At 40.4% G+C, this 25039-nt stretch overlaps 1 protein-coding gene and 1 long non-coding RNA gene across 34 annotated transcripts in view, besides 2 other annotated features; both read left to right on the forward strand.

The window, feature by feature from the left end:
* The window catches only part of CAST (calpastatin), an 813255-nt gene that overhangs the window by 733541 nt on the left and 54675 nt on the right, over positions 1 to 25039 (forward strand). For 19 of the 33 annotated variants that reach the window (NM_001423254.1, NM_001423259.1, NM_001423255.1 and 16 more), the window contains one exon: positions 867 to 938. The exons of 2 other annotated variants lie outside the window; for them this stretch is intronic. Coding sequence is in view for 9 of the 31 variants with exons in the window: in NM_001750.7 (NP_001741.4) it covers positions 867 to 938 (72 nt within the window). In the remaining 22 variants the exon portion in view is untranslated. Of the gene's footprint in view, positions 1 to 866; positions 939 to 7836; positions 7947 to 25039 lie in introns of those variants that run through there. 12 more of the 33 variants (NM_001042443.3, NM_001330631.2, NM_001330633.2 and 9 more) reach the window with 1 other exon arrangement.
* Positions 7707 to 7836: a silencer, noted in NCBI's record as "silent region_16194". NCBI's record gives its function as "represses an Ori minimal core promoter by ATAC-STARR-seq in GM12878 lymphoblastoid cells {active_cell/tissue: GM12878}" and the evidence as "EXISTENCE:reporter gene assay evidence [ECO:0000049][PMID:35858748]".
* Positions 8076 to 8575: an enhancer, noted in NCBI's record as "H3K27ac hESC enhancer chr5:96038749-96039248 (GRCh37/hg19 assembly coordinates)". NCBI's record gives its function as "activates a minimal SCP1, AML or CMV promoter by ChIP-STARR-seq in primed H9 embryonic stem cells {active_cell/tissue: H9 hESC(primed)}" and the evidence as "EXISTENCE:reporter gene assay evidence [ECO:0000049][PMID:30033119]".
* Positions 10376 to 21470, forward strand: LOC107986363 (uncharacterized). Its single transcript, XR_001742454.2, has 2 exons — positions 10376 to 17504; positions 19672 to 21470. It is a non-coding gene; the product is annotated as an uncharacterized LOC107986363 (long non-coding RNA).

Consider the following 25039-nt stretch of genomic DNA (forward strand, 5'->3'; position numbering starts at 1 on the left):
AGTGTTTTTCTAGGACATGATTTTTAATAACCAGATGATATTTCATCCTATGGCTCTCCCATAACGTAACCCCCTATTATGGGATGCAGTATAGGTAGGTAAGAGATTGGAGTCTGGAGCAGATATCCTGCCTTTTACTAACTGTCACCATGGCCAAGTAATTTATTCCTTCTGTTCCTCAGTCCCCTCACCCATAAAGTGGAGATAACAATAGTATTAGGTTTATATTGGTTTATCTTGTTACTCATGGTATTTAAAACACTTAGAGTACTTAGAATAACGTTCTGAGAGGCTTTATTCTTGAAGCATTTTATCCTATTACTATCTATAATTCTATTATTCTAATAATTACCTGGCACACCATAGTACTTAATAAACATTCATTATTATAGATACTGTTTTCAGCTTTTTTAGGTTATAGTACTGTGATCAGTATCTTTGTAGAAAAATACTTTTTCTCTTCTCTTATTTCCCTAAGATACATTTTTACAAGTAGAATAGCATCTTTGATACATATTTCTAAATCACCCTGCATAGACATTGTAACATTGTATACTCTCTATGGCACTGTAAGGGTGAGTGAAGTTTTTGGAAGTACATGAGAACTGCCTCAGTGAGTTTTGCAGTTCTCCAAAATCACTGAATATTGAACAATTGAGACTTATTCAACTTACTCTTCATTTCAATATTTGTATCATCTTCAGGCAAAGTAACGAAAAATTCAAAGCATATGTTTACTTTGGGTGTGTTTCAAATATTAGTCTGATTTTTGCTTGAGAAAATATTTGTATTGATATGTAAGTTTGCATTTGACTACATTGGTAAGGTGTTTTCCCCCATTGAAACTAATATTTTCTATTTTCAAGAAAAAAGCAGCAAGCCTCGGCAGCAGTCAATCCTCCAGAACCTATGCTGGTGGAACAGCCTCGGCCACCAAGGTCAGTGATTTCCTGAACACGAAAAGACCCCTACTGTATTCTACAGGGATATGATTAGTGGGTGGGGCCTGTAGGAATGGCAAACAGTGTCCAGATATCACTGAAGGTTTTTTAACAAAGTATCATTTCTGTGCTAGAAGAGAGAATATAATTTCTTAATAATGATGTGAATGATTTAAAACCTAGTAAAACCATTTATTGTATAAATCTTCTTGGCATATAATAAGCGTTAAATAAATATTAATTATTATGATGACTATCTGCAGATAATATTAAACTTTTGAACATACTGTGAGTAAAAACGTAGTGCTCCCACTTTAGAAAATAATTCATATCCTCCTCATGGGCATTAACCACACCAGGCGTGCTGCTAGTGCTTTATGTAATTATATCACGTAATCCCCTCACAATCTTCTTCTTATTCCTTTATACCTGAGGAAACCAGAGCTCAAGGAGGTTAAGTAACCTTGACAAGCTCACAACGCCAGTAAGATGGAGATAGGGCTTGAACCCAGGTTTCCTGTTAAGAGGTCTTTGACAATGCTGGGTCTTATAAACTCCATCTAAGCAATTTTTGGTAATATAACCCTTCAAAGTTTTGCAACTTATAAAAATCACTGAAACCTCACCTTTCGAGGCAAGAAAATGGCCAGGCACAGTGGCTCATGCCTGTAATCGCAGCACTTTGGGAGGCTGAGGCAGGAGGATCACCAGGAGGATCACTTGAGCCCAGGAGTTCATGACCAGCTTGAGCAACATAGTAAGACCCTTTCTCTCCTAAAAAAAAAAAAATTAAAAATTAGCCAGGCTTGGTGATGCGTGCCTATAGTCCCAGCTACTCAGATGGCTGAGGTTGGAGGATCACTTAAGTCTGGGAGGTCGAGGCTGCAGTGAGCTGTGACAGTGCCACTGCACTCCAGCCTGGGCAATAGAACAAGACTCTGTCTCAAAAATAAAAAGAAAGTCTAATTTTATAATGTTAGCTAGTAATTTTTGATAAATAAAATTGTTTTGGGAGTCCACGGTGGGCAGATCACGAGGTCAGAAGTTCAAGACCAGCCTGGCCAAGATGGTGAAACCCCATCTCTACTAAAAATACAAAAATTAGCTGGGCATGGTGTGTGGTGGTGCGCACCTGTAGTCCCAGCTACTGGGGAGGCTGAGGCAGGAGAATGGCTTGAACCCGGGAGGCACAGGTTGCAGTGAGCCGAGATAGCGCCACTGCACTCCAGCCTTGTAACAAAGTGAGACCCTGTCTCAAAAAAAAGAAAAAAAAAGTTGTTACATTCAACCCATTTCAACTTTGTGGTCTTTTAGTATGTCCAAGATTATCTAAAACCTCAACCTATGTTTCAGGAGTATCTATACAACTATTTAACGTAAGCTTTTTTTTTTCTTTAAAACTGGTGGCTATCTTATGGAAGTCAGACTTTCTCATAGATGTCACTTGCTCAATGAAGAGTTAGTATTTTCGTGTCACTCAGAGTTCTGACTGCTCTCCAAGTCCCTGATGGTGCCCAAACCAATAATCAGCTGAGAAGCTCTAACGCTAAATACCATGCCACTTTAAGACCCGTGCCTTTTAAAGACCTTTTCAAAGCTCTCTGCTACCAGTCAATAAAAATATAAAAATCATTGAAAGACCATGAATCGTAAATACAGGGAGTTAATTAACATTTGGAACCAACATAAATTCAAAACTGAGGTCTGCTCTTTGTTAGCCATTCTTTACTGCTGCTGGAGACACCACAGCATTCACTGATGGCCACTGGGTGAGAGAGTTGCTTACACAAACAAATATGAGTTTGGATTTCCTCTTTGCCACTATTATTTGTCCAGTCCCACTGAGCTTCAGTTTCTTCATCTGTAAAATGAGGGTTGGACTTCTCTTGTCAGGGCTGTTGAGAGCCTTAAATGAAAGAAAATAAATACTAACACTTAGGCCTGGCCCTGGCATTTAGCAGGTGCTGGGAAAATGGACCTCTCCTGTGATTGATCATGTTAATCTTCATATTCTGTTATTTCCAGGTCTCCAAATAAAAGAGAGTCTTCAACTAAAAAAGATTAACTTTTATTGTTATCAGGACTTGTATTTAGCATACACTTAAATTATGCCACTAAAAATGATACACCTCATTAGCAAAACACCCACCCAGTGAGATTTAGTGAGTTATTTGTAAATGTTCCCACACTTGCTATTATCTAAACTTTTGAAGGTTTAGTACATTGTGGAAAACCACACCCAGTTTTTTCTTGAACGTAATCATAAGAATCAGACCCTTTCCATGTTTCTTTTTTTTAACGTAGAAGTTACCCTATTTTTCTGAGATGGGATAGTTATAAAGAATTTGAACATCTCCCCACAAACCCTGTTCTGTCTTAAGAGCTGGGAGGGGCAGGGCATAACTGGGAAGTGGAGATGATTTAGCTATATGTTTATTGCTTTAGTATTTAACAGCAAACATGAAATTCTTTTTTTGGCTTTAAAAACACCATCCTCTCCCATTTCCATTCTTATGTCTGCTGTTTCTCTTTCTCACCATGCTTTTCTGACTCACTTTCCTTTGCCAGTTTCCTAAATGTGAGTTCTCCAGGGTTTGATTCTTCACCCCTTCCGTTCTCATATTTTTTACTTTTATAAGGTGTTGAACAAACGTAATTGCTTATTTCTTCTTTTGATGCCAGATTGGAATGGTTGTAACTCATAGCATTATCCCTTAAGGAATTACATACCCATGCATCATTTAGAAAAGCTGGGGGTAATAGCATAACTTGAAGCCTTTTATTACACAGTTATCATGGCACACACAGGCAAAATAATATTCTCCCAACACATTCTGAAAAGGCGTGACAGAGTGGTAGATAGAATTGGAAGTGAGAACTAGTGCTAGTTTTCTTGATTCTGGAAATAGTTAATTTGAAATTCAAAATAAGTGATAATTTTACAATTATTAAGAAAACTTTAAAGTTTTAAAAATTAAGTACTTAATTTGAAGCATATGTGTAAGCTATGTATTAGAGAATGGTTTCTATATATTGTAGAATTGTTTTATGAGAATGCTTACAAAATGAGGAATTGGGCCCTCAAATAATATCCCTTCTGCTATGCAGTTTTAGGTTTCAAAGATCTAATGCTCTTAAGTGATGTAAATTTTTCTAATTCAAAATAATTAGTGTAAAATATTTAGTTCTTAAAATTTAATTTTTGGTAAATCAGTAGTGAAGATGAGGCTGCGGAAATTATACGGACTCTTACTAAAGCCTATATGAAAATAGTTGTGATCCATAACCAGTCATGCAATTTTATTTCTGGAAGACTTGTCAGACAACTTCTATTTCACCAACCTGACTGTTCAGGTGAGGAAACCGAGGTTCAAATTGCATTAGGAATGTCTCTGTAGAAGACCATGCTATTAAGAAGATGTACTGGTTAAAGTTGTTAGTTCCAATTAGAACCCACTCTGACTAAGCCAAAAAGGAATTTCTTAAGGAACGGGGTAGCTGGTAGAGAAATCCAGGAGAGTACAGCAGAAGAAATCTAAAGCCTTACAGCAGTACTAATGCACAGTAACACTATGAGGCTTTCTCCTGCTGCCACCACAGCTCAGCTCCTGTCACATGTAGGACTGGGTGCCAGAACTCTGCCACTGACAATGCAGAAGACTCAAAATCCCTATTATAACATGGATTTCCTGGTGGGCAGCAGCCTGCACACGTTGCTCACTTCCCAGCTCATTCTTGTTTGGCACATCTGATTGGCCAGTGTAAATCACATGCCTTCACCCTGCTCCAAGGGAATCTGGGGGTGTGAGTCTTCTGGATCCTACTTTGGGAAGGCATGGACTGATAAGGCAGGAAATTATCAATATGTGGTGAGGTTTTTCAAATATGTGGCCTCCTGCTGAATGACAGATATCCATGACAAAGGAAAACAGGAGAATTACCTAATTGAATAGGAAAACTACAGATGACAAGTTATTCAGCAACATTAGGCCTTTCAAACAGAAGAAAGCGCAAACAACTTTCCTCCCAGCCTAGACAGGAGGAGATCTATGAAGGAATAAGCACCTATCAGAGAAATACTTTCGTGATTTGGGTCCTGAGTCTGCCATAAATAGCTGTGCTGACTTTGGCAACACAGCTCTCTTCCCAGGTTCTTACTTTTCTCATCTGTAATAGGAGTGAGGGTTTGGGTTAACTCTTCAGGTACTGTGGAGGGTATGCTGACATTCAGTGCCAGCATCAGCCCACAGTACCCTCCTACCACGTGTGGTTTGTGAGATGACTGTGTGTTAGACAAGAAAGCGTTTTTATTTTAATAATTATGCTTATATTTTAATGTGCTATAAAAAGTAAACTAGCACATCAACTCCTAATCCCATGGCTATTTTCATTTATAGTGAGGCTGAATTTAAGGTTAAAGTAAATCTACTTCTTTTAAATTAAGTAAACATAATATATCTATGGCAGGTTAAAAAATATTATATAAGTAATGTACAAATAATAACCAGGGCTTGAGAAATAAGATCCAGAGCAGTAATTCTCACCTTTTAATGTACATAATGAGTCAGTGTGGGTTTTATTAAAATGAAGATTCTGGTTTAGGAAGTCCAGGATGAGGCTGAGATTCTGCTTTTCTAACAAGCTTCCAGTGGATGTGCTGCTGCTGCTTTGGCAACCACATTTTGAGTAGCCAGGAGACTGAATAGTGCAGAATGTGGGTAGTTTAGGCTACCCATAACCTAAACATCAACTAGAGAATCTGATTAAAATGCAGATTCTCAGGTTTGAAGCCAAGAAATTCTGATTCGCCGGGGTGGGGGAAGAGCCCAGGATTTCATATATTTAATAGGCATTCCCAGGAGTTTCAGATGCAGATGATTTGAGAACCACACTGGCAGGAAGGACACCCTCAGGGATTGTGATGGCCACAGCACAGCAGTGGAACTACATTGTTTGCCTTCACTCTAAGGAAAGGAGCCTTTTTCCACCTGACTTACAGCAGAAGAATCTTGCGAAAAAAATTTTTTTTTTTTTTTGAGACAGGGTCTCACTATTGCCCAGGCAGGAGTGCAGTGGTGTGATCTCAGCTCACTGCAACCTCCACCTTCCAGGTTCAAGCGATAATCCTGCCTGAAGCCTCCCGAGTAGCTGGGATTACAGGCAAGCACCACCGCACACAGCTAATGTTTGTATTTTTAGTAGAGACAGGGTTTCACCATGTTGCCCAGGCTGGTCTGGAACTCCTGAGCTCAGGTGATCCACTTGCCTCGGCCTCCCAAAGTGGTGGGATTACAGGCATGAGCCACCATGCCTGGCCAGAAAATTTGTTTTATAACCATGTGATTACTCATCTGTACTCATCAGGAGCACAGAAATACATTCAGAGATAGGCATCATTGAGCTGCCTAACTCTGGAAGCTGTGGGGCCCAGGGCCCATCCCTATGGGGTGTGGCCCAAATTAGTCACCCTGTGCTGTTTTTGTCACAGGAGAAATTAATGTCAGTGAAACCTAGATGAGCTTTTAGTCTATTTTTAAAAAGGAATGACAATACTAATGATCAACAACAACAACAAAAAGGGATATATAAGCTATATATCAAGAAGAATTCTAAGTCCGGGTGCATGGCTCATGCCTGTAATCCCAGCACTTTGGGAGGCTGAGGTGGGTGGATCACTTCAGGTCAGGAGTTCGAGACCAGCCTGGCCAACATGGTGAAACCCTGTCTCTACTAAAAATACAAAAATTAGCTAGGTGTGGTGGTGCATGCCTGTAATCGCAGCTACTCGGGAAGCTGAGGCAGGAGTATTGCTTGAACCTGGGAGGTGGAGGTTGCAGTGAGCTGAGATCACGTGACTGCACTCCAGCCTGGGCCACATAGCGAGAATCCCACCTCAAAAAAAAAAAAAAATTATAAGGACAGGGTCTTCTGCTCTGGAAATGTTAGAATCTTAAAGTTGGAAGGGCTCTTATTTCACTAGATTTTTGACAGAAATAAAAGACAAAAAAAATAAGGTAGCTGTGAGGAGTACCTTGAAAGGTACATCAGAGGGCCCTAACTGCCTTGGCTGCCTGGTGGGGTACAAAGCTGTATGGATGAGTTCACCTTTTTCATGCCACTGGCCATCATTTGTCATGACTCGACACAGCACTGTCCAACCTGTCCTGAGGTCTGTGTTCCTCAAACAGTGACCAACACTACCTCCTTCACTCACACCCCAAGTTCAGGGTTCAGAGCCTTTAATGTGGTTGGTGTACGGCTTTTCATTTATTTTAAAATTTTTTATAATTATTTTCTCTAACTCTTATCATTCAATATTTATTAGTTGGCCTTCTATATGAAAGAGTGGCTTAACCCCTCTATTTATTCATTCATTTATTTACAGCAGTATAGACTCATGAATTTATATTGTATTCAATAGCTTCAAATCTATTCTAATTTTGAAGTTTGTAATATACTATAATATAAAGTAATCGGGTAGAATTCTTACTGTTAAACTACTCTTTAAAGAAATCCATTACACAGTTTTAACTGCATTTGCAAATCCCTGGTTGTAGTCATTACTAATCCACTTTATAGTTTCAAAAGAGGTCTTCGGGGGAGCATATTTGCGAAGTGCACCCACCGTCGTTGCCTTATTCTGGTAGTCACAGGGTGACAGCCGAGGGAGCGGTAACCTGTAATCAGCCGGCGGTGCGCAGCCCACACAGCACGTGGTCCGCATCACAGGCTGCGTTATTGAGTGAGCCAGTCTCCAGATGCCAGGCGCATGACGAGTCCACGGAGCGGGACCTCCCTCCCCACGCATCCCGGGCTCCCGGGGCGGGGCCGCCGGGCAGGGGGGCGGGGAGCATCCTGCGTCGCCTTCCCGGGACCGCCCCGCCCCGTCGCACTCAGAGAGCTGGGCTGGAGCTCCAAGCGGAAACCGCGGGAGCCGAGCCCAGCTAGGAATGCAGACCTCCTGAAAACCAAGCCGAGGACTGCGGGGTCCGGTGTCCACGCAGAGTGAGTACTGTCTTCCGCCGCTTTGCTCCAGGCCGCGCGTGCTCCCGGGTCTAGGGCCTGTGCCCCCGGCTACCTGCCCTGCGTGTCCGGGGCCTGGTCCCTGCAGCGGACTCCCCAGGCTCGGGACGTGCGCTTTTCCTACTATCGCGACCCTGGCGATACCGTGCGTTCTGAGTTTAACTGTGTTTCTTGGCGACTCCTCCTCCTTGTCGGTAACACTGTTACTGCCCCTTCCGCCGGGAAATGTATCTGGTGACCGGACGCGTAGGGTTACAAAACAAGGGATTTGTGTGGCCCGGTACAAGTGGCCCGAGACAAGTGGCCCGAGACAAGTGGCCCAAAAGAAGGAAAGCAGCAGCTATGTCAGTTTGGTTTGGCACCTTTATCTCTAGGGTTGGAGATAGATCTCCTCCTCCCCAGCCGTGCCGCCACCCTGTGATGACCTCCGTTTTAGAGCGTGAGCTCACTCTGACCTTTCTGCGTACCTGATACATGCTGGGTGTGGCGTGGCAAGTGTTGTAACCTGTTTCGGTTCCATTTCCTTTACACAACCTGAGACGGTTGTAGAATAACATCACTGAGGGTTACTTTGTGTCTATCTTTTAAGAATACAAAGTGTTTTCACAGAGATTTAACTTTCTCTTCTGTATGGTTAGGGACCCGGCATTCTCCACTTACACACAGGCAGGGGGAAGTTCTTTATTCCCATTGTACAGCTTCAGAAAATGAGGCAGAGAGTTTAGACAGCTTCCCTAAGGATCGGGACTTTGGGGCCTCTCTAGTTTTCTAGGAAACCACCTATGCATCAGAATGACAGAAATGCTTAATCAGCAGCTCTGGAAAGTTCCTGCTGTTTCACATGTTTTTCAGAGGAAAAACCTCTGCATTGCAGGGAAGCTCAACAAGGAGTGGCATCTACTGTTCAAAAGGGGAAAGTCTATTTCCTAATCAGCACTAGAGTTTATATTAATATAGATTGCTTCTTTCTGATGAATGTATTCGACTTTTGTGCACTGATTTTTCAGTATCTAAAAGGAATATTGAGTTGTTGGGAATATGCTGGGGAGGGTGTGCTGCTTGGGTTCTAGGAGGCAGTATAGGATTAAAATGAAGTAGTGAAATTTAGCAAAATCTTGCTGAACAAGGAAAGGCCACACCTGTAGACTGATGGAGAAGGAATAAGCCACCTATAGCAATGAGGCTGACTAGGGATCCCGTGTGTGTGCAGCAAGGACTCCTGGTGTCTATTACGAATCAGCATGCTTTGTAGACTGTGAAACAGTGTTTATGAAGCAGCACATTCAAGTATAAATATTGGCTGTGGTTCAGTTCAGATGCTTTGAAAGAAGAGTCCGAATGCCAGAGAGTAGTTGATTATATAGAATTAGTGGGGAGTTTTGGTTCCTTGATTATTCTCTGGCAGAATTGACTAAGTATAACATCTGTACTGCAATGAAAACATAAAAGCTAGTACGTAAAGTAACAGTTTGAAAGAATGAAACCAGAAAGAAAAAGAAAGCATTTTCTTTTCATTTGAATAACTTCTGAAAATCAGCTGAGTATTTATGTTTCTATTCATTGTTTATAATCACAGTTAACTTTAAGTGATCACTACTTCTTAGGTGGAAACATTTACTTTTTCTCAAAATATGAACTGTCTTAATTAGTCCTATTCAAATAAAAACTCCATAACCCATATTCTTCTATGTTCATATATATCTTTGTATCTCCTCTTTCATTATACCTTATAATTCCCTCAATTTGGAGATCATACGAATCTGGGATATCTGTTTTAGCATTGGTGTGTCTAACCTCATAAGAACATATCGCATAGTTTTTCTGATACATAGAATTAGCAATCTGCTTACTAGAAAATTACAGGAGGTCTTCATGAACATTGCATTTAATTTTTTCTCTATGGACGCTCTTGACTTAAAAATGTCATCTTAATGTTTCTCAAAAGGCATAGTCTTGGCATTTTGGGTGACAATTCTGAATTAGATAGAGCTCTTTGCTCGCACTGAATGTCAGAGCGTGACCGAAAGCACTTTCATGCATTTAAATGAACTTTGGTTGGGTACTACATCCAATTTTTTAAAATTGAATAAAACATATTAAAAAGGGCTAGGGACGGTGGCTCATGCCTGTAATCTCAGCACTTTAGAAGGCCAAGGAGGGAGGATCGCTTGAGGCCAGGAGTTTGAGACCAGCCTGAGCAACATAGCAAGACCCTGTCTCTACAAAAAATTTAAAAATTAGGGCATGGTGGCGTGCACCTATGTGGCCCCAGCTACTTGGGAGGCTAAGGTGGAAGGATCAGTTGAGCCTGGGAGGTTAAATTGTAGTGAGCTGTGATTGTGCTGCTGCACTCCAGCCTGACACAGCGATGAGACTCTGTGTCAAAAAAATATATATATAAAGAAAAAAAAGAAAAAAAAAGAATTGAGCCATACCATTTTGATGGAAAGCCATAAAAATAATTAGTCAATGATTTCCAATTTTTAAGGCCACTTTACATCTCCTAAGACTTGATGGCTTCTGGACAAATCTGTTTATTTGAACATTGCGATTTGGGCAGAAACTGTGTAATCAATCATACCGTTAGCAAGGTGACATTGTTGGACCCATGTGCTATAGTACTCTATTGTCTACCCTAAGCAATAATAATGGATTATTAGAAGGTGACTGTAATAGGTTCTAGTAAAAGAATAGATGAGCATAATCTGTATTAGAACATAGTATTAATAGTTCTAATATTAATATTTATATTAATAGTTCTAATAATAGTTCTAATGTGGCTATAACACATTAATAGTAACAGCTACATTTACTGAAAACACTATATTCTAAGCACATACGGAGCCCTTATGTGCTGTGATGATAATGTAGCTATGACGTAGAAACTCCTGTTATGCTCGTTTTACAGATTAAGAAAATAAAAACTGCCATACTATATTGTTTTTCAGGACATATTTAACAGCTTGCCATGAACACTTTTCAAAGAATGAGCTTCAGTGCATGAAAAGTTATCACACACTAAATTCGCATTTTGCTACAGTGATTTCCTCTCTCAGAATGCAAACTTTTACTATACCATGAGCCCCTTAAAGACAGAATCCCCTATAGCATCTACTTCATGTCTTCCACATAGTAATTGCTCAATATTTATTGGATTGGAAAAAAGATTAGTTTTATCGTAATATGAATAGAGCCCTAAGATGCTGTTACATTAATATAGATTATTCCTGGTTAGGTAGAAATGATAAAATAATATTCATTTTTATTCTCTAGGATTTACAAGTAGAGTTTTTGAAGTTTAATATCTCTTTGTGCTTTGGCTAAAGATTATAGAGTGGATAATCAAAAAATATATGAGCAAGGAACCCTTTTTTCTTTCTTTATTTTTTCCCTGGAGTTTCTGCAATTGGCCAGACGTGATGCTAGGCATACAGAGGTATGGCCCATATAACAAATATAAAGAGCAATGTAAAAAGTGTTAAATGGCAGTGCTGTCACGATACTGTAAAAGCGGAGTGAAAGGTTAAAGGAAGAGGGTTGAGGTTAAGCTTGGGAGCCTGTTTTTCTGGGAATATACAGTAGAAATATGATTTCTTTAAAGGAAATCTGCAACCAGGAGGCAAGGCTAAAGCAGAAAATGCCAACAGCTGCAGATCCTAATGACTGAGATGTTATTCTGGTGGAGCACAGTCAGTTAAAGGCAGGACTGCTTATAAGTGTGAAATACATCCAGCCTCCCAGTCATTGGCTTGCCTGATGCATTATTTTCTTAATCTCTTCTTCCCGTGCTTTCCCCTGAGACACTCCAGTTTCTGTTGCACACCTTTGCATGTGCTGTTTTGTGGAACTGAGAGTTCTGGTTAATTCTAGGACATTCTGATAAGATGTTCTTGCTACTCTTCCCTTGTAGACAGACTGGATTTCCATCAGGTGTCAGTAACATCTAAGATTTTCATTTTGTCCTGGGGCTCTACGCAGTTTAACTGGAGCCGCCACAGCTGATTGGGTGTGTGTTGTCAGTCCCCCAGGCAAGCTCTGAGGGTTACATTTCTGCTGCTCATATTTCTGTTTCTTTCTTCACCACTCAACCCGAGGTGCAAAAGTGCAAAGACAAGTTCATCAACAATCAGAATAACCTGCCCCTGAATTCTTTCTAATGATTCATTTTCTCAATCTAGTTTCTAATTTCATATTTGGCAGCTACCACCTGGTAAATACATCTCCTTAGCTAGAGGAGGAAAACTTCACACCCAGTTTACTCACCTTTTGTCGTTTTCCCTGGTTCCTGTCAAAGTTGTTGCTTGGTCTGTTTTGTTGCCATTTGTTTTCCTACAGATCCCTTTACAACACTCTGTTTTTTAAAAAACTAACATTTAACTTTATTTGAGGAAGATATTTTATATGTTAGAAAAAATGATTTTGGGTCTGCTTTTATTGAATGTGTTAACTTTAGTTAACCTTTTTTTTTTTTGAGACAGAGTCTCGCTCTGTTTCCCGGGCTGGAGTGCAGTGGCACAATCTCGGCTCACTGCAGCCTCCACCTCCTGGGTTCAAGCAATTCTCCTGCCTTAGCTTCCTGAATTGCTGGGACTACAGGCACGTGCCACCACTTCTGGCTAAATTTTGTATTTTTAGTAGAGACGGGGTTTTGCCATGTTGGTCAGGATGGTCTCGATCTCTTGACCTCATGATCCAATCGACCTTCACAGGGAAGGTCTCTAATGAACTAAACCAACTGATGTTCATGGCCCACGTTTGGAGCCTGAGCAAGGTCATGGACCATTGATATTTCACTCAAAGTTGCCGTAACAGATTAAAGCGCTTAGTATGCAAGTATTCTCCCTGAGCTCTATAATGGACTGAGGTCCCCCATACCAGTGACTTAAGAGTCAAAGACCTAGACCACACCTCAGGGCCTCCAGAGTTGCCGGGGAAAGTGTGAGCTATGAGTGCTGTTCCCACCAAGAAATCAGGAGCTTAGCCTCCTGCACATACTGTTTCCTTATTAACTATACTAACAGAGTGGCCAGGGAAGGTAGCAGGGAATAGAATCACTTATACATTTTTCAGTTACATGTGCTTTTTCCTTATTGTGAATGTAGGAAATTGTGTTTATATCCGATAGGGAAAATGAAACCCTTTTATATGACTCCATTACTATGGCTAATAATCATCAGCGTCCCTGAATATAAATATTCTCATGCTAACAATATGTTTAAAACAGTGCCTCATATGCTTTTAGACATGCGTTATTTTATAGCATTTTATTTTAAAAGTTGTGTCAGGTTTAGAGAGGTGAGTCTGCATCAGGGAACTGAAACTGGTAACCAGCATTTTTATTTTTCAGGATTCTTCCCTTTCATATGTTCCATCTCTTTATTTTTCTGTGCTGCATTGTGATTAATGGCCTCAGATCTATCTTGCAGTCGCTTAAGTCTCTATGCAGTTATGTGTAGTTTATATTTTCACCTATTTTTGATTTGGGGCTTTTATTTTTTCTTTTGTGTCTTTGATTTTTAAAATTTATTAAAAGTCCCCTTCAGATTTTTCTATTGTTTTAGTTACTTTTTTCTTTGAGACAGGGTCTTGCCCTGTCACTCAGGCTGGAGTGCAGTGGCACAATCACAGCTCACTGCAGCCTTGACCCCCTGGGATCAGGTGATCCTCCTACCTCAGCCTCCCAAGTAGCTAGGACCACAGTTGAGAGCCACCATGCCTGGCTCATTTTTGTATTTTTGATAGAGACAGGGTTTCATCATGTTTCCCAGGCTGGTCTTGAATTCCTGGGCTCAACTGATTCACCTGCCTCGGCCTCCTTCTTCACCTCTATTTCTTTCTTCACTACTCAACCCGAGGTGCAAAAGAGGATAAACAAGTTCTGGGATTACAGGTGTGAGCTGCTGCGCCCAGCCTGTCTTTAATTCTTGAAGTAAAATTTCTCCTATATTTGTAACAATGACTCTCCCGCATGCTATTTTACTTCCTGATTAGGTTGGGAAAATGTGGCTTGAAATTCACCTTCAATGAAGATTGTTTTCCATGAGAGTCCTTTTTCCCCTATGTTGTAGATCTGCCTCTACCAAGTGGTTTTTAGTACGTTGCTGCCTGTGGTCATTCAGATTTCAACAGCGTTAATATCTTGGCTTGGTGCTTCCACTATACAGAAATAAATTTGGTCCTTGAGTGCCCAATGGCACAAGTTTGGAATTTATTTTTCTCATGCATATGCATTTTTACACTCATGGCTCCAGCCAGAAAGAAAGCTGCCTTACCATTATTCTGGACAGGTGGGCAGTTGTCAAGGCTTATGTTTGTGGATGATCAGTTCTGAGTAGCTTCTGGTTTTAAGCTAGTAACTCAGCACAGGGCCTGTAGCCAGGATTCCTTTCTCATTTAGAGAATTCAATTCCTAGTTCCCAACTGTTATATCTGTTTCTGATATCCCCGTGAGTCATTCTGTCTCAGCCTTGCTCACCAGAGGACTTAGAATTCCCTCCCCGTTAGGTTACTTGGGAATTTCTCTTCTTTAAAGCTTACCTATCTATTTTATTTTTTATGTTAAATTTTATTCAGTATTCTCATGTCTGGAACAAAATGGAGTTCTTTTATTAGAACACAGACTAATTTTGTTAGACCTGAACAATGTGTTTAAAATGTTTGAAAGCCTTTAAGTTGGGGAATACATGTACTAGCTTGTCACATGCTTATCTTATCATCATACTGGCCTTATGATATTCATACTGGCCTGATCTTCGTAATGATCTGATGATATTCATATCACTCTACACATGTTTTCATTTGCTTTTTAGACTCCTGTTCTACAGAAATAGACATATATTATTTTCTGAAAATTTAATTACTTGACCATTTGAAAATTGCATCCTGTTTTAAAAAATATCCTGGCAGCTGAGCTGTATACTTGGTGTATAATGTGTGCAGCATTAGGGGTTCCCCAATATTAGTTCCAGAATATCTACCTATAAAATGATAGCAATATTGGGATCGATGATGTCTACAACATACTACTATTTCCTTGTGGTGCAAGAAAGGACGCGGGCTATAGAGAAAGTCACAAGTATCAAGTGTTCCTGGGGTTTAGGGACATAAGACTAAAGAGGACAAGTATTATTGAGGTACTTCAGGGCAAGCATGTATGCCTTTGTCCCAGTCTTTTTAGGGAACATTTAGGTTCTTCAGTAACCTAGGCTAGCAATATTAGCATCAAAAATCTTATTTTAAGCTGGCTGGAAGGTAATTTTGAAGAGTCATTTTGCAAATTTATCCTAATATCTTATGTGATCCTTTCTTTTAACCAAATGTAAGTGTGAAGAGACAGAGATTGTCACCAGGAATAGAGCACTAATGTACAGCAATAGACGGTAGAAAATGGTGGTCCTTTCAATGAGCCACTACAAAGCCATCTTGTTTTAAATTACCTAAAAGTGATTCTCCATGTCTGGGAATTTTAGAATTACGTGAGAGGCTTACAGCTTTTTAGGCCACAGACCTCCTTCCCTCTTCTTCTTGCCCTTTTTCCTTTGTATGTTTCTAAGTGTCTATTGTCCCCCTTCCTCTCCCACTGTTCTAACTACTGCCTATAAATAATTCTCTTCCAGGACCATTTCTACCCGTTATGTCAAGAACCACTGAGCTACAGTGTTAATGCTTGGCCAGTTACATTGCCCAGTGGCTTGACATTACATTCATTGCCAGCAATAATTATGAACATTTTTAGCCTAAAATATTTAAATAGTTATGAATTCCTGCCTATTCTACATATAGTTTCAATGATTAGAATTAGAGATCCTGTTTTCCCCCAGCAATATTATAAAACTAAATATCTTCCACATGATATCTTACTCTAACCTTGAGTTTTTAATCAATTAGTTAATTATATTTACTTGGGATTTTAGCCCTAATGGGTCCACATCACTTAAAAAAAAAAAAGTCTGTCCTCTGCTGAATATTCAGAGTTTAAAAATGGAGGTTTAATCTCTCTTGGCTGTTGAGTTTGAGCCTTCTGTTGGTTTCAATAATCTTTTAATTATTGCAGTATTGTGTGCTGAATTATTCTCACAGTGTTATTGTGGCAGGCCTGGATTCTTAGCCCAGAAAATTAGAATTGTTTTCTTCTCCAGCCCTTCTGACAATCATATTTTTATACCTGTTCACAGGTTTCCAAAGATTAAATGTGATCAACACTGATCTCCATATTTTCAATTAAAATCTTTGTGAAATACCACTTGATTTCCAGTTGAAGTAGTAGTAAACCATATTTTCTCAATGTATGTGTAACTTCTCCATATCCTACTATATATAGGTCAATGAACTGAAAATTTGGGTACCATTCAACTTGGGAAGACAACCAATATAAAACAAAGAAAAAGTTAACTAAGAACATTCTAGCTATTGCTGATAATCTGAAAAAAATTCTGGAATGCTCTGGGGGCAGGATTCAGTCTAGCAGCACGTATATAGTTTAGAGAAACTCTACAGGATGTAGATTTTGAAAATAAATAGAAACAAATAAATTTAACATTTATTAATTTATTGGACAACTACTGTGCTAAGTGATTTACATAAGATTTCATTTATTCCTTGTAAGAGTTGCATATTTTACAACTAGGTAAGGAGGTATTGACAGTTTTATAAATGAGGAGACTGAGGGCCAAGAGAGTTCAAATAACTTACCCTAGGTCACTACAAATAGCAAGATTCTATTTGATTCTAAAATTCTTTTCAGCAGACTAGTCTTACAAAATCCTCTGTTCAGTAGTTTGTATCTAAGTAGTTTAAATAACTGAGAGGGGAATTTGTTTCTAAACTTAAACACTGGAAATCAATATTGTGCTCTTTTGTTATATGCAGTATCTTAGGACTGCTGAAATTCTAATGGGTGAGGTTTCCCACTTGTCTGAAAGAGAGTATTGTACACTGATTGGGATTAGGAGATAATAGTTTAGTTGGCAGTTTCTTTGGACATTTGATATGGGCAGTAGAGAAGGAATAAATTAGCCATTTTGGAATATGGTGAAAATTAATAGTAAAATTAAATAGCACATAACTGAAAACACCCTTATCCTATAGGAAATAGGACACCCTTACCCTATAGGAAACTTTTGCTTAGATTGAAATATAAGCAGCAGTGCTCATATATTTACAGCAGTTTCAAATTCAAATGAATCCTACTTTAAAATGTGTTCTATCTATTCCACTGAATTGTTATCTGATGGGAAGGTGGAATGTAATGCAGTGGAATGTATCATTATCTGAAACAGGCATGGAGCAGTTTAGAAATTTGCTCAAGGTCACACAATTTAGCAGAGCTGAGATTCAAACTCAAGTGGCCTGGCTCCAAAGCCATTCTTCTAACCATGACACAACTTTTTTTCTTTTCTTTTCTTTTTTGAAACAGGCTCTTGGGGTCTTGCTCTGTCACTTGGGCTGGAGTGCAGTGGTGCAATCACGGGCCACTGCAGCCTTTATGTCCAGGCTCAAGTGGTCTTCCCATCTCAGCCTCCTGAGGGCCTGGGACCACAGGTGTGTGCTACCATACTTGGCTAATTTGATTCTTTTGTAGAGATGGGGTCTCACTATGCTGCCCAGGCTGGTCTCTAACTCCTGGGCTCAATCAATCCTCCCACCTGAGCCTCCCAAAGTGCTGGGATTATAGGCATGAGCCACTGTGCCCAGCGACCATCTCTTTAATATTTGCAAAGATTGATACAACACTGCCTCTTTAATATTTGCAAAATTAAACTTGCTGTCAGTATACATTTGTGAATTTGTTCTTCTTAGGTGGTTTCCAGAATAACATTTTATTTCACTCCCCATTTTCATGTTGGTTATTTGACAATCAGCTTGGATAAGAGAACCTTGTTACAGTTCTCATGACGTTGGCTTTTTAATTAAGAATATTCTTCAGTGAAAGGTGGGCTGGCTGCCAGGCCCATCTCTCAGTCCTCATGTTTGGCTCTGTCTTAAGATATCCTCATATGTTCCTCCCTACTTTGTGTTAGAGACATTTTGAGTCTCTCATTTCTGTGGAGATTGAGGCTTGCAGTTGGTTTTGCAGCGTAAGTGCACATAAAAGTTCTCATGTTTTTCTTGCTCTCTGTTCAGTTTACACCTAAGGAATGAATGCACTATGGAAGTAGAAAGGCTTTCTGGATGATTGTTCAGCAGACCTCAGAATTTCTCTTTTTTTTTTTTTTTTTGAGATGGAGGCTTGCTCTGTCACCCAGCTGGAGTGCAGTGGTGCAATCTTGGCTCATTGCAACCTCTGCCTCCTGAGTTCAAGTGATTCTCTTGTCTCAGCCTTCTGAGTAGCTGGGACTACAGGCACGTGCCACCATGCCCAGCTAACTTTCTGTATTTTTAGTAGAGACGGAGTTTCACTGTGTTAGCCAGGATGGTCACGATCTCCTGACCTGGTGATCCACCCACCTCAGCCTCCCGAAGTGCTGGGATTGCAGGTGTGAGCCACCGTGCCTGGCCAGAATTTCTCATTCTTATACCATAATCATATCATCAATAACCATATATGCTTTAGATGAGCTCATAATCTGTCAGGGTTGTTACAGGTATATGCTCTTGCTACCAAGATTCCTCTTCATTTGACTGGAACATGGACCTAAAGCAACCATGCATTTGAATCCAAAGAAAATGCCACAATGTAAAATAATGTTGCAGGTTCTTTCCTTTGAGGAAGATAAGCAAGATTAATGTGAAATGTGTAACTTCTCAAATTAGTGCTCAGGCTGGGCATGGTGGCTCACACCTGTAATCCCAGCACTTCGGGGAGGCTGAGGTGGGTGGATCACCTGAGGTCAGGAGTTTGAGACCAGCCTGACCAATATGGTGAAACCCCATCTCTACTAAAAATACAAAAATTAGCTGGGTGTGGTGGTGCACACCTGTAGTCCCAGCTACTTGGGAGGCTGAGACCGGAGAATTGCTTGAACCCAGGTGGCGGAGGTTACAGTGAGCCAAGGTCATGCTACTGCACTCCAGCTAGGTGACAGAGCAATACTCTGTCCAAAAAAACAAAAAAAACACAGTGGTCAGCACAGAATTACTCTGTCATTCTGAGGCCAAGCAAAGAAACTTTCGAGGCTGTTGGCATTCATAAAATAATAAAAATCACTGCTGTCTATTGATGTACCATGTGCCAGGCACCAAATCATGCACTTTATATACATACCCTCATTTAATCCTCACTGCTAGCTTATGAAGTAGGTATCTTTTTTTATATACATTAAATGAATTTAAAAACCTCACATTTGGAAGGATTAAGCAGCCTGCCTGTAGTTGTGCAACCAGAATTAGGCCTCAGGTCTATGGGACTCCAGAGCTCATGCTCTTAACCTCTGTGTTTCCCAATTGAACATCTGTCCTTAAGCACATTATTTAATGCCCTTCACTAAAGTATAGCATATAATATTAGAACTGCAGAACTACAGGATTCTCAAGGCCAACAGTTTTTACAAATAAAGAAAAGGTGCGCAAGAAAGATTAAGAGCTCCAAGTCACATGGCTAGTCAAGTACAGTCTTCCTCATGGCTCCTGTAGTGCCTGTTAACAGAAATTGTTTGATTCACAGGCTTATGTAAATCCTCACCTGTGAAACCTTCTCTAGGGGAGGGACAAGAAGCAGAAAGTAGGCTGCATTTTCTGGACCTGACTTCCCTGTTTTGCTTTATCTTAGGCAGCCAGAGATTAGACATATTTGGAATTATTTCATGCATCAAGAGAAGCAACTGGAATCCCTAGAGACATGAATACAACTTCAGGAAAGAAATCTGCTTTTCTATTCTTTGATGACTGACCTAGGCTGTGTGGCTAGCTCTTCTCCTTACTTACAAAATTATTATCCCATAAAAAAGCACTGGAAAACTAGAGTTTGGAAAGCAATGAAAATGAAGCAGTTGCCTCGTAGAACTGGAAGCTCAACTTCATGCCTTAAATGTGGATTTTTTTTTCTAAGTTCTTGGGGTGGTCCGGTATCAGAGCTCATAATCAGACCCTCAGAGAATATGGCCAGTATCCTTCTAGCTTGGATTTAGATCACAGATCAGCTGTGACTATTGTCACAGTTGCTAGGCAACGTTTGTATGTTTATTTCGAGGCCTACCCACATGTTGCATCAGAGGCCAAAGCTCATGTGCTCTGCACTCCTCAGAACAAGTAGAGCTCTTTATTTTTAACTAAACTGTTTCCTTGTAATGTATTTTATGAATGTACAGCCTACTCTGCCAAGCTGTAGTTATCTTCAGTTTCTCCCTAGTAGTCCCAATTCTCTAAATTTTTGCATTCAACTTCATCTAACCTGTTGCATTCTGGACTGAATATCTCTGGTACTTTCCTACCCCTAAGTCTTGTGCAAGCTGTTTTGCTCACCTAGAATGCCTGCCTGATCCAGCCTCTATCTACACATTTTGTAAAATCAAGATATTTTGTTTTAATATTTGATATGAGGGCAGTCAACTTGTTACAGCAAAAAGTTCATGGACATTATTGTCATATCTGTGTTCAAATTCAGGCTCTGCCCCTTCTTAACTGTGTAATCTTAGATAAGTTATTTAACTTCTCTAAGCATCACTTTTCTCATTGATAAAATGCAGATAATGTTTACCTATCAAGATTTATGAAGATATATTGAAATGAGATACATAGAGCACCTGTCACAGCTCCTGGTATTTGGAAGATTCTATAAGTCCCCACCTCCCTGTAGATGACACTACAATAAGCATCCAATAAATAGTCCCTGCCTTGTCTATGAAGCCTTTCCTAACCATCTTCCAAACCAGCACCTCAGAAATAGTCTCCCTCTTCTGACCGCCTGTAGCATTGTATTGTACCTAAGATCTTATCACAGTCAAACTTGTCAAATACTATGTTCTGAGATACAAGTTGGCACTGTAACTAGATCTGCTAGCACAACACCATATTCTGCCCAAAAGAGATGGCTGAACTTCATTCATAGATGATCCATTGTTTATCTTTCATCAGAATCACACTTTCAGTTATCATAAACACTATACCTTGTTAGATGACTCTATTGCAGGTCTCTTTAAAAGCACCATTATTATACTTAATAATTAAAGGGATTGTAAGAATGTATGTCATGGTGTGACAGCTTGGCAAACAACAGACATCTGAATATTCATTTCCTGAAGTGAATAATCCATCATTACAGAAAGAAAAATGGAAGCCTGTATTCAATAGACCTATAAAAGGTGTTTAAAGAATGTCCATGTCTTTCTTAGAAAAGCCCCTTGTGAGCAGCCTTGTTTTGTTGCGGTTGTCTTACAGGAAGCAGCTCAGGGTTTTGCGTATATGTGTTTTATTTTTAAGTTGTACAACTCCTGGTTGATGACAGTCATAACGTAAATGACCTAAAGTTTAAATTGCGTTATTCTAATCAGTTTTCTGACCTCTGCTGTCAACAGAATTTCTGACGATCAAATAATAAAACTCAGACAATATTGGTTTTGTGCCATAAAATAATACTCTTGTGTTTATTCATGTACAAATTCATGCATTTATCTCAGATACTTGTTAAGCAACTACTATGTTAAGGCTCCGGGGATGGGGATGGGGATGGGTGGCAACTCAAACAGGCCTGGCCCCTGCCTTCATGGAGTTCACATTTGGCTGTTTTATAAATGTTGTGAGGAAAGGATTTTTTTTCACCCATGATTGCCTTTATTTCAATATTTGAGATGTGTTATTAAATAAGAATCTGATCATGGCTCAGGTCAAATTATTTGTTTTTCTCTTGTACATCTAGCAGAGCTGTTTGTAAAAGTTAAAAATTAGTTATTGATTTGTCAGATTTTTTAATTTAGAAAATGTTTTGTATTTGTTTTGCGGTTTGCCTAAATTGCTCTAACATTTGGTATCTAATTTGACTCTCACAGTAACCCTGTAGGGTGCATGGTATTGCCATGATAAGAAACTAGATGCTCAGCAGGCTTAATTGACCTCCCATGGAGTCCCGGCCACTTAGCAGCCATCCAAATGGAAACTTAAGTCTTCTGATTTATTAAGTGTGTTCTTGATTCCAGCTTAAAAAAAACTTAAAGTATTAAAACTGTATCTTATTCTGTGTTTAAATGAGACTAACTGACAGCTAGAAAATGGAAACAAAAATGTGAATCAACTGTGATTTTTGAGCCCCTCTCTGCTACTGTATAGGCACTGTGGGGAGTAGAAATGACCTCTGCCTCTTGATAAATTTATAGCTTCATCGATAAGACATAATGTACACTTAGAAAGGAACTCAGTAACCCTCCAACACAGAATGCATGGTTCAGTGTTAAAGTGAGAAATATCAACACAAGAGTTGAGAAGATAATAAGAGCTAAAGCAGATGCAAATAGTGTATCTTGAGCTAAATCTTCAAGGGCAGGGAAGATGGGACTTGGGCAGGGAAGAGGCTTCTAGGCAGGGGGAATGGCAAGTTGCAAGGCTCAGAAGTGGAAGGGAGTGTGATGGTGATAGTGATAACAATAACTGCCATTTGCCCAGCACTTATCACTTGCCAAGCAGTTATTGGTTCACATGCATTAACTTATCCTTAAAACGGCTATCAAAACAATTCAACCAGAGAAGAATTGTTACTATTTCAATTTTACATATGAGGAAACTGAGGCAGAGAGGTTAAGCAACTTGCTCAAGGTTGCATGTGCATTAAATGGCAGCTGGATTCCACCATGGTCTTGAGACCAGAATCCACTCTAACCCTTTTAACCTGTGTGTTATGCTGCCTGATGTGGTGCTCGTGAGATGGTAAGGACACCTTCATGGTTAGAGGGGAGACTCAATATGGGGTCATGATGAGAGAGGTCAAATAATGGAGAATCTAAAAATCAGGCAGAAGGCATTAAACTTTGTCTAGGACTTATTGATATTTCATCAGTGCGGAAACATGGTAGACATTTATTTTAGAAAGATTAGTCAGCCCTAGACAGAAAGGATTGAGAGACAAATAAGGGTAAGGATGGCAACTATTAGATGGAAACTATTAAAAGGGGGTTTCTATCCAGGTATGGGTGATAGGTGATTAGACCTGGAGTAGGGTAGCAGTAGAAATGAGAAGGATGTAATGGTGATAAGGACTGGAACTGGCACTGAATCAACAGGTGAGTCAAGGCCAGGTGATTTCCTGAGAGCAGCTTCATGGTATTACCCCCATTTTACAGATGAGGAAATACGGAGGCTCCAAGAGGTTAATTTGGGCTAATAAGCATTGGAGCAGGGATTTCAGCCTATATCTATCTTTCTTGGCTTCCTCTCTTTAAGGTAAAATAATGCAGTCTGGTCATATAGTAGAGTTGCTGATAAGGTTTGAAGAATTGCTCCCAAAATAAGAGATGCTTAAAGTCATGGGGAGAAATCAACATTCAGAGGGAGCAATAATATCAGAGAAAAGGCAGAGACTGACTATTAAAGAACACTGGAGGGAGGGAGGAGGGTAAGGATTGAAAAACTACCTATCAGGTACTGTGCTTATCACCTGGGCGATGAAATAATCTGTCCACCAAACCCCCATGACACGCAGTTTACCTGTTTAACAAACTTACACATGTGCCCCTGAACCTAAAAGTTAAAAAAAAAAAGAATACAGAGAAGAATGGAGCAAGTGGAAGAGGCTTCCGGAAGAAAACAAGTTAGAGGTATAGGGAGGGAACCCAGGGCTCCTAAAGCCACAGCAGCCAACAAGGAGAGAACAGTCAGTGAATGACTCAAAGTGAAACTGCCAATGGATTGTCAAGTGGAGAAGGAGGGAACATGCACGCAGCCCAGTGTTCTTAGTAACCCTCAACAAACAAAGACAGATTCAGGTGTGTGAAGGGCAAGTAGTGTTGCAGGTGGGAGGATATGGGAGTGCTGCCAGTGATGGGGTGGAGAAGGGAAGGAAGGTCTGTCATGAGGAGAAAGAATTCTGACGCATCCGATGCCCCACTCTGTGCCAAGTTCCGAGCCAAGCCAGCTGCGGTCAAGGGGAGAGATCACGGGGAGGCTGAATGGCTGGAGGGGAGGCAGAGAGGATTCCTGTAATCCAGTGGGAGGTGCCTGGCAAGAGGCCAGGAGGACGTGAAGGGATTCTAATGTGTGGTAGACAAAGAAGTAAGGAGCTGAGGGAATGATTGTTCCATCAGCTACATGTAGTGGCGCAATGGATGAGCCCGCATCCTAGGAGCCCCCTTCCTCTGCCCCTGCTTCTATAGAAGCCCTTACCTTCCCATCCTGGCTCACTTGCCAGGACCTGCTGGGGAGCTCAGAACCCTCCCTACTCCCATCCAGTCTCACAAGACAGTTAAGTGAGCCTCCCACCTCAGCCTTCCAAGTAGCTGGGACTACAGGCGCGTGCCACCACACTCAGCTAATTTTTAAATTTTTTGTAGAGACAAGGTCTCACTACATTGCCCAGGCTGGTCTCCAACTTCTGGACTCAAGCTGTCCTCCCATCTCGGCCTCCCGAGGTGCTGGGATTTCAGGTGTGAGCCATTGCACCCATCTGTACATTGCTTTTTAAATAATAATTGTTGAATAGGCGGGTGAGTGGAGAGTAATTTCTATTAAGGAACTTTTCTCTGCTTCTTGTTACTCTGACTTGTGCCTTAATTCAAGTTTATAAATGATTACTAATATTTGGGATATTAAGATAGGTACATGGGTCATTTGGGAGGGGTAGTATTTTGATAGCAGCACTTTATACTCTGATTTACAGTATTAATTCTTTAGAGGTATTTTGGTGTATATGAGCACTGATGGTTGTGCTTTAAAATTGGCAGCCCGTTGATGTTAGCAGGACCAGCCAAGTGGCAGGCACTGCAGTAGAGGGACCTGGGTTAGAAGTCAGATGGCCAAGCTCCCAGGCCTGGCGTACACAGCTCGGAGGGTCCTCGTGCAGAGAGTGCTCCTTTCCAGCCTGAGCGATCCCTCCTTATCCTCCAATCACCGCATGACAGGTCACATTATCAGAACTGCCTGTCTCAACTATCCCCTGAACTGCTATGGTTCCCTCATCTACATTCTCATGGAACCCTGTGAGTTTCCTTTGTAGC

This window comes from Homo sapiens, chromosome 5 (genome assembly GCF_000001405.40).
Source record: "Homo sapiens chromosome 5, GRCh38.p14 Primary Assembly".
Taxonomy (NCBI): Eukaryota; Metazoa; Chordata; class Mammalia; order Primates; family Hominidae; genus Homo; species Homo sapiens.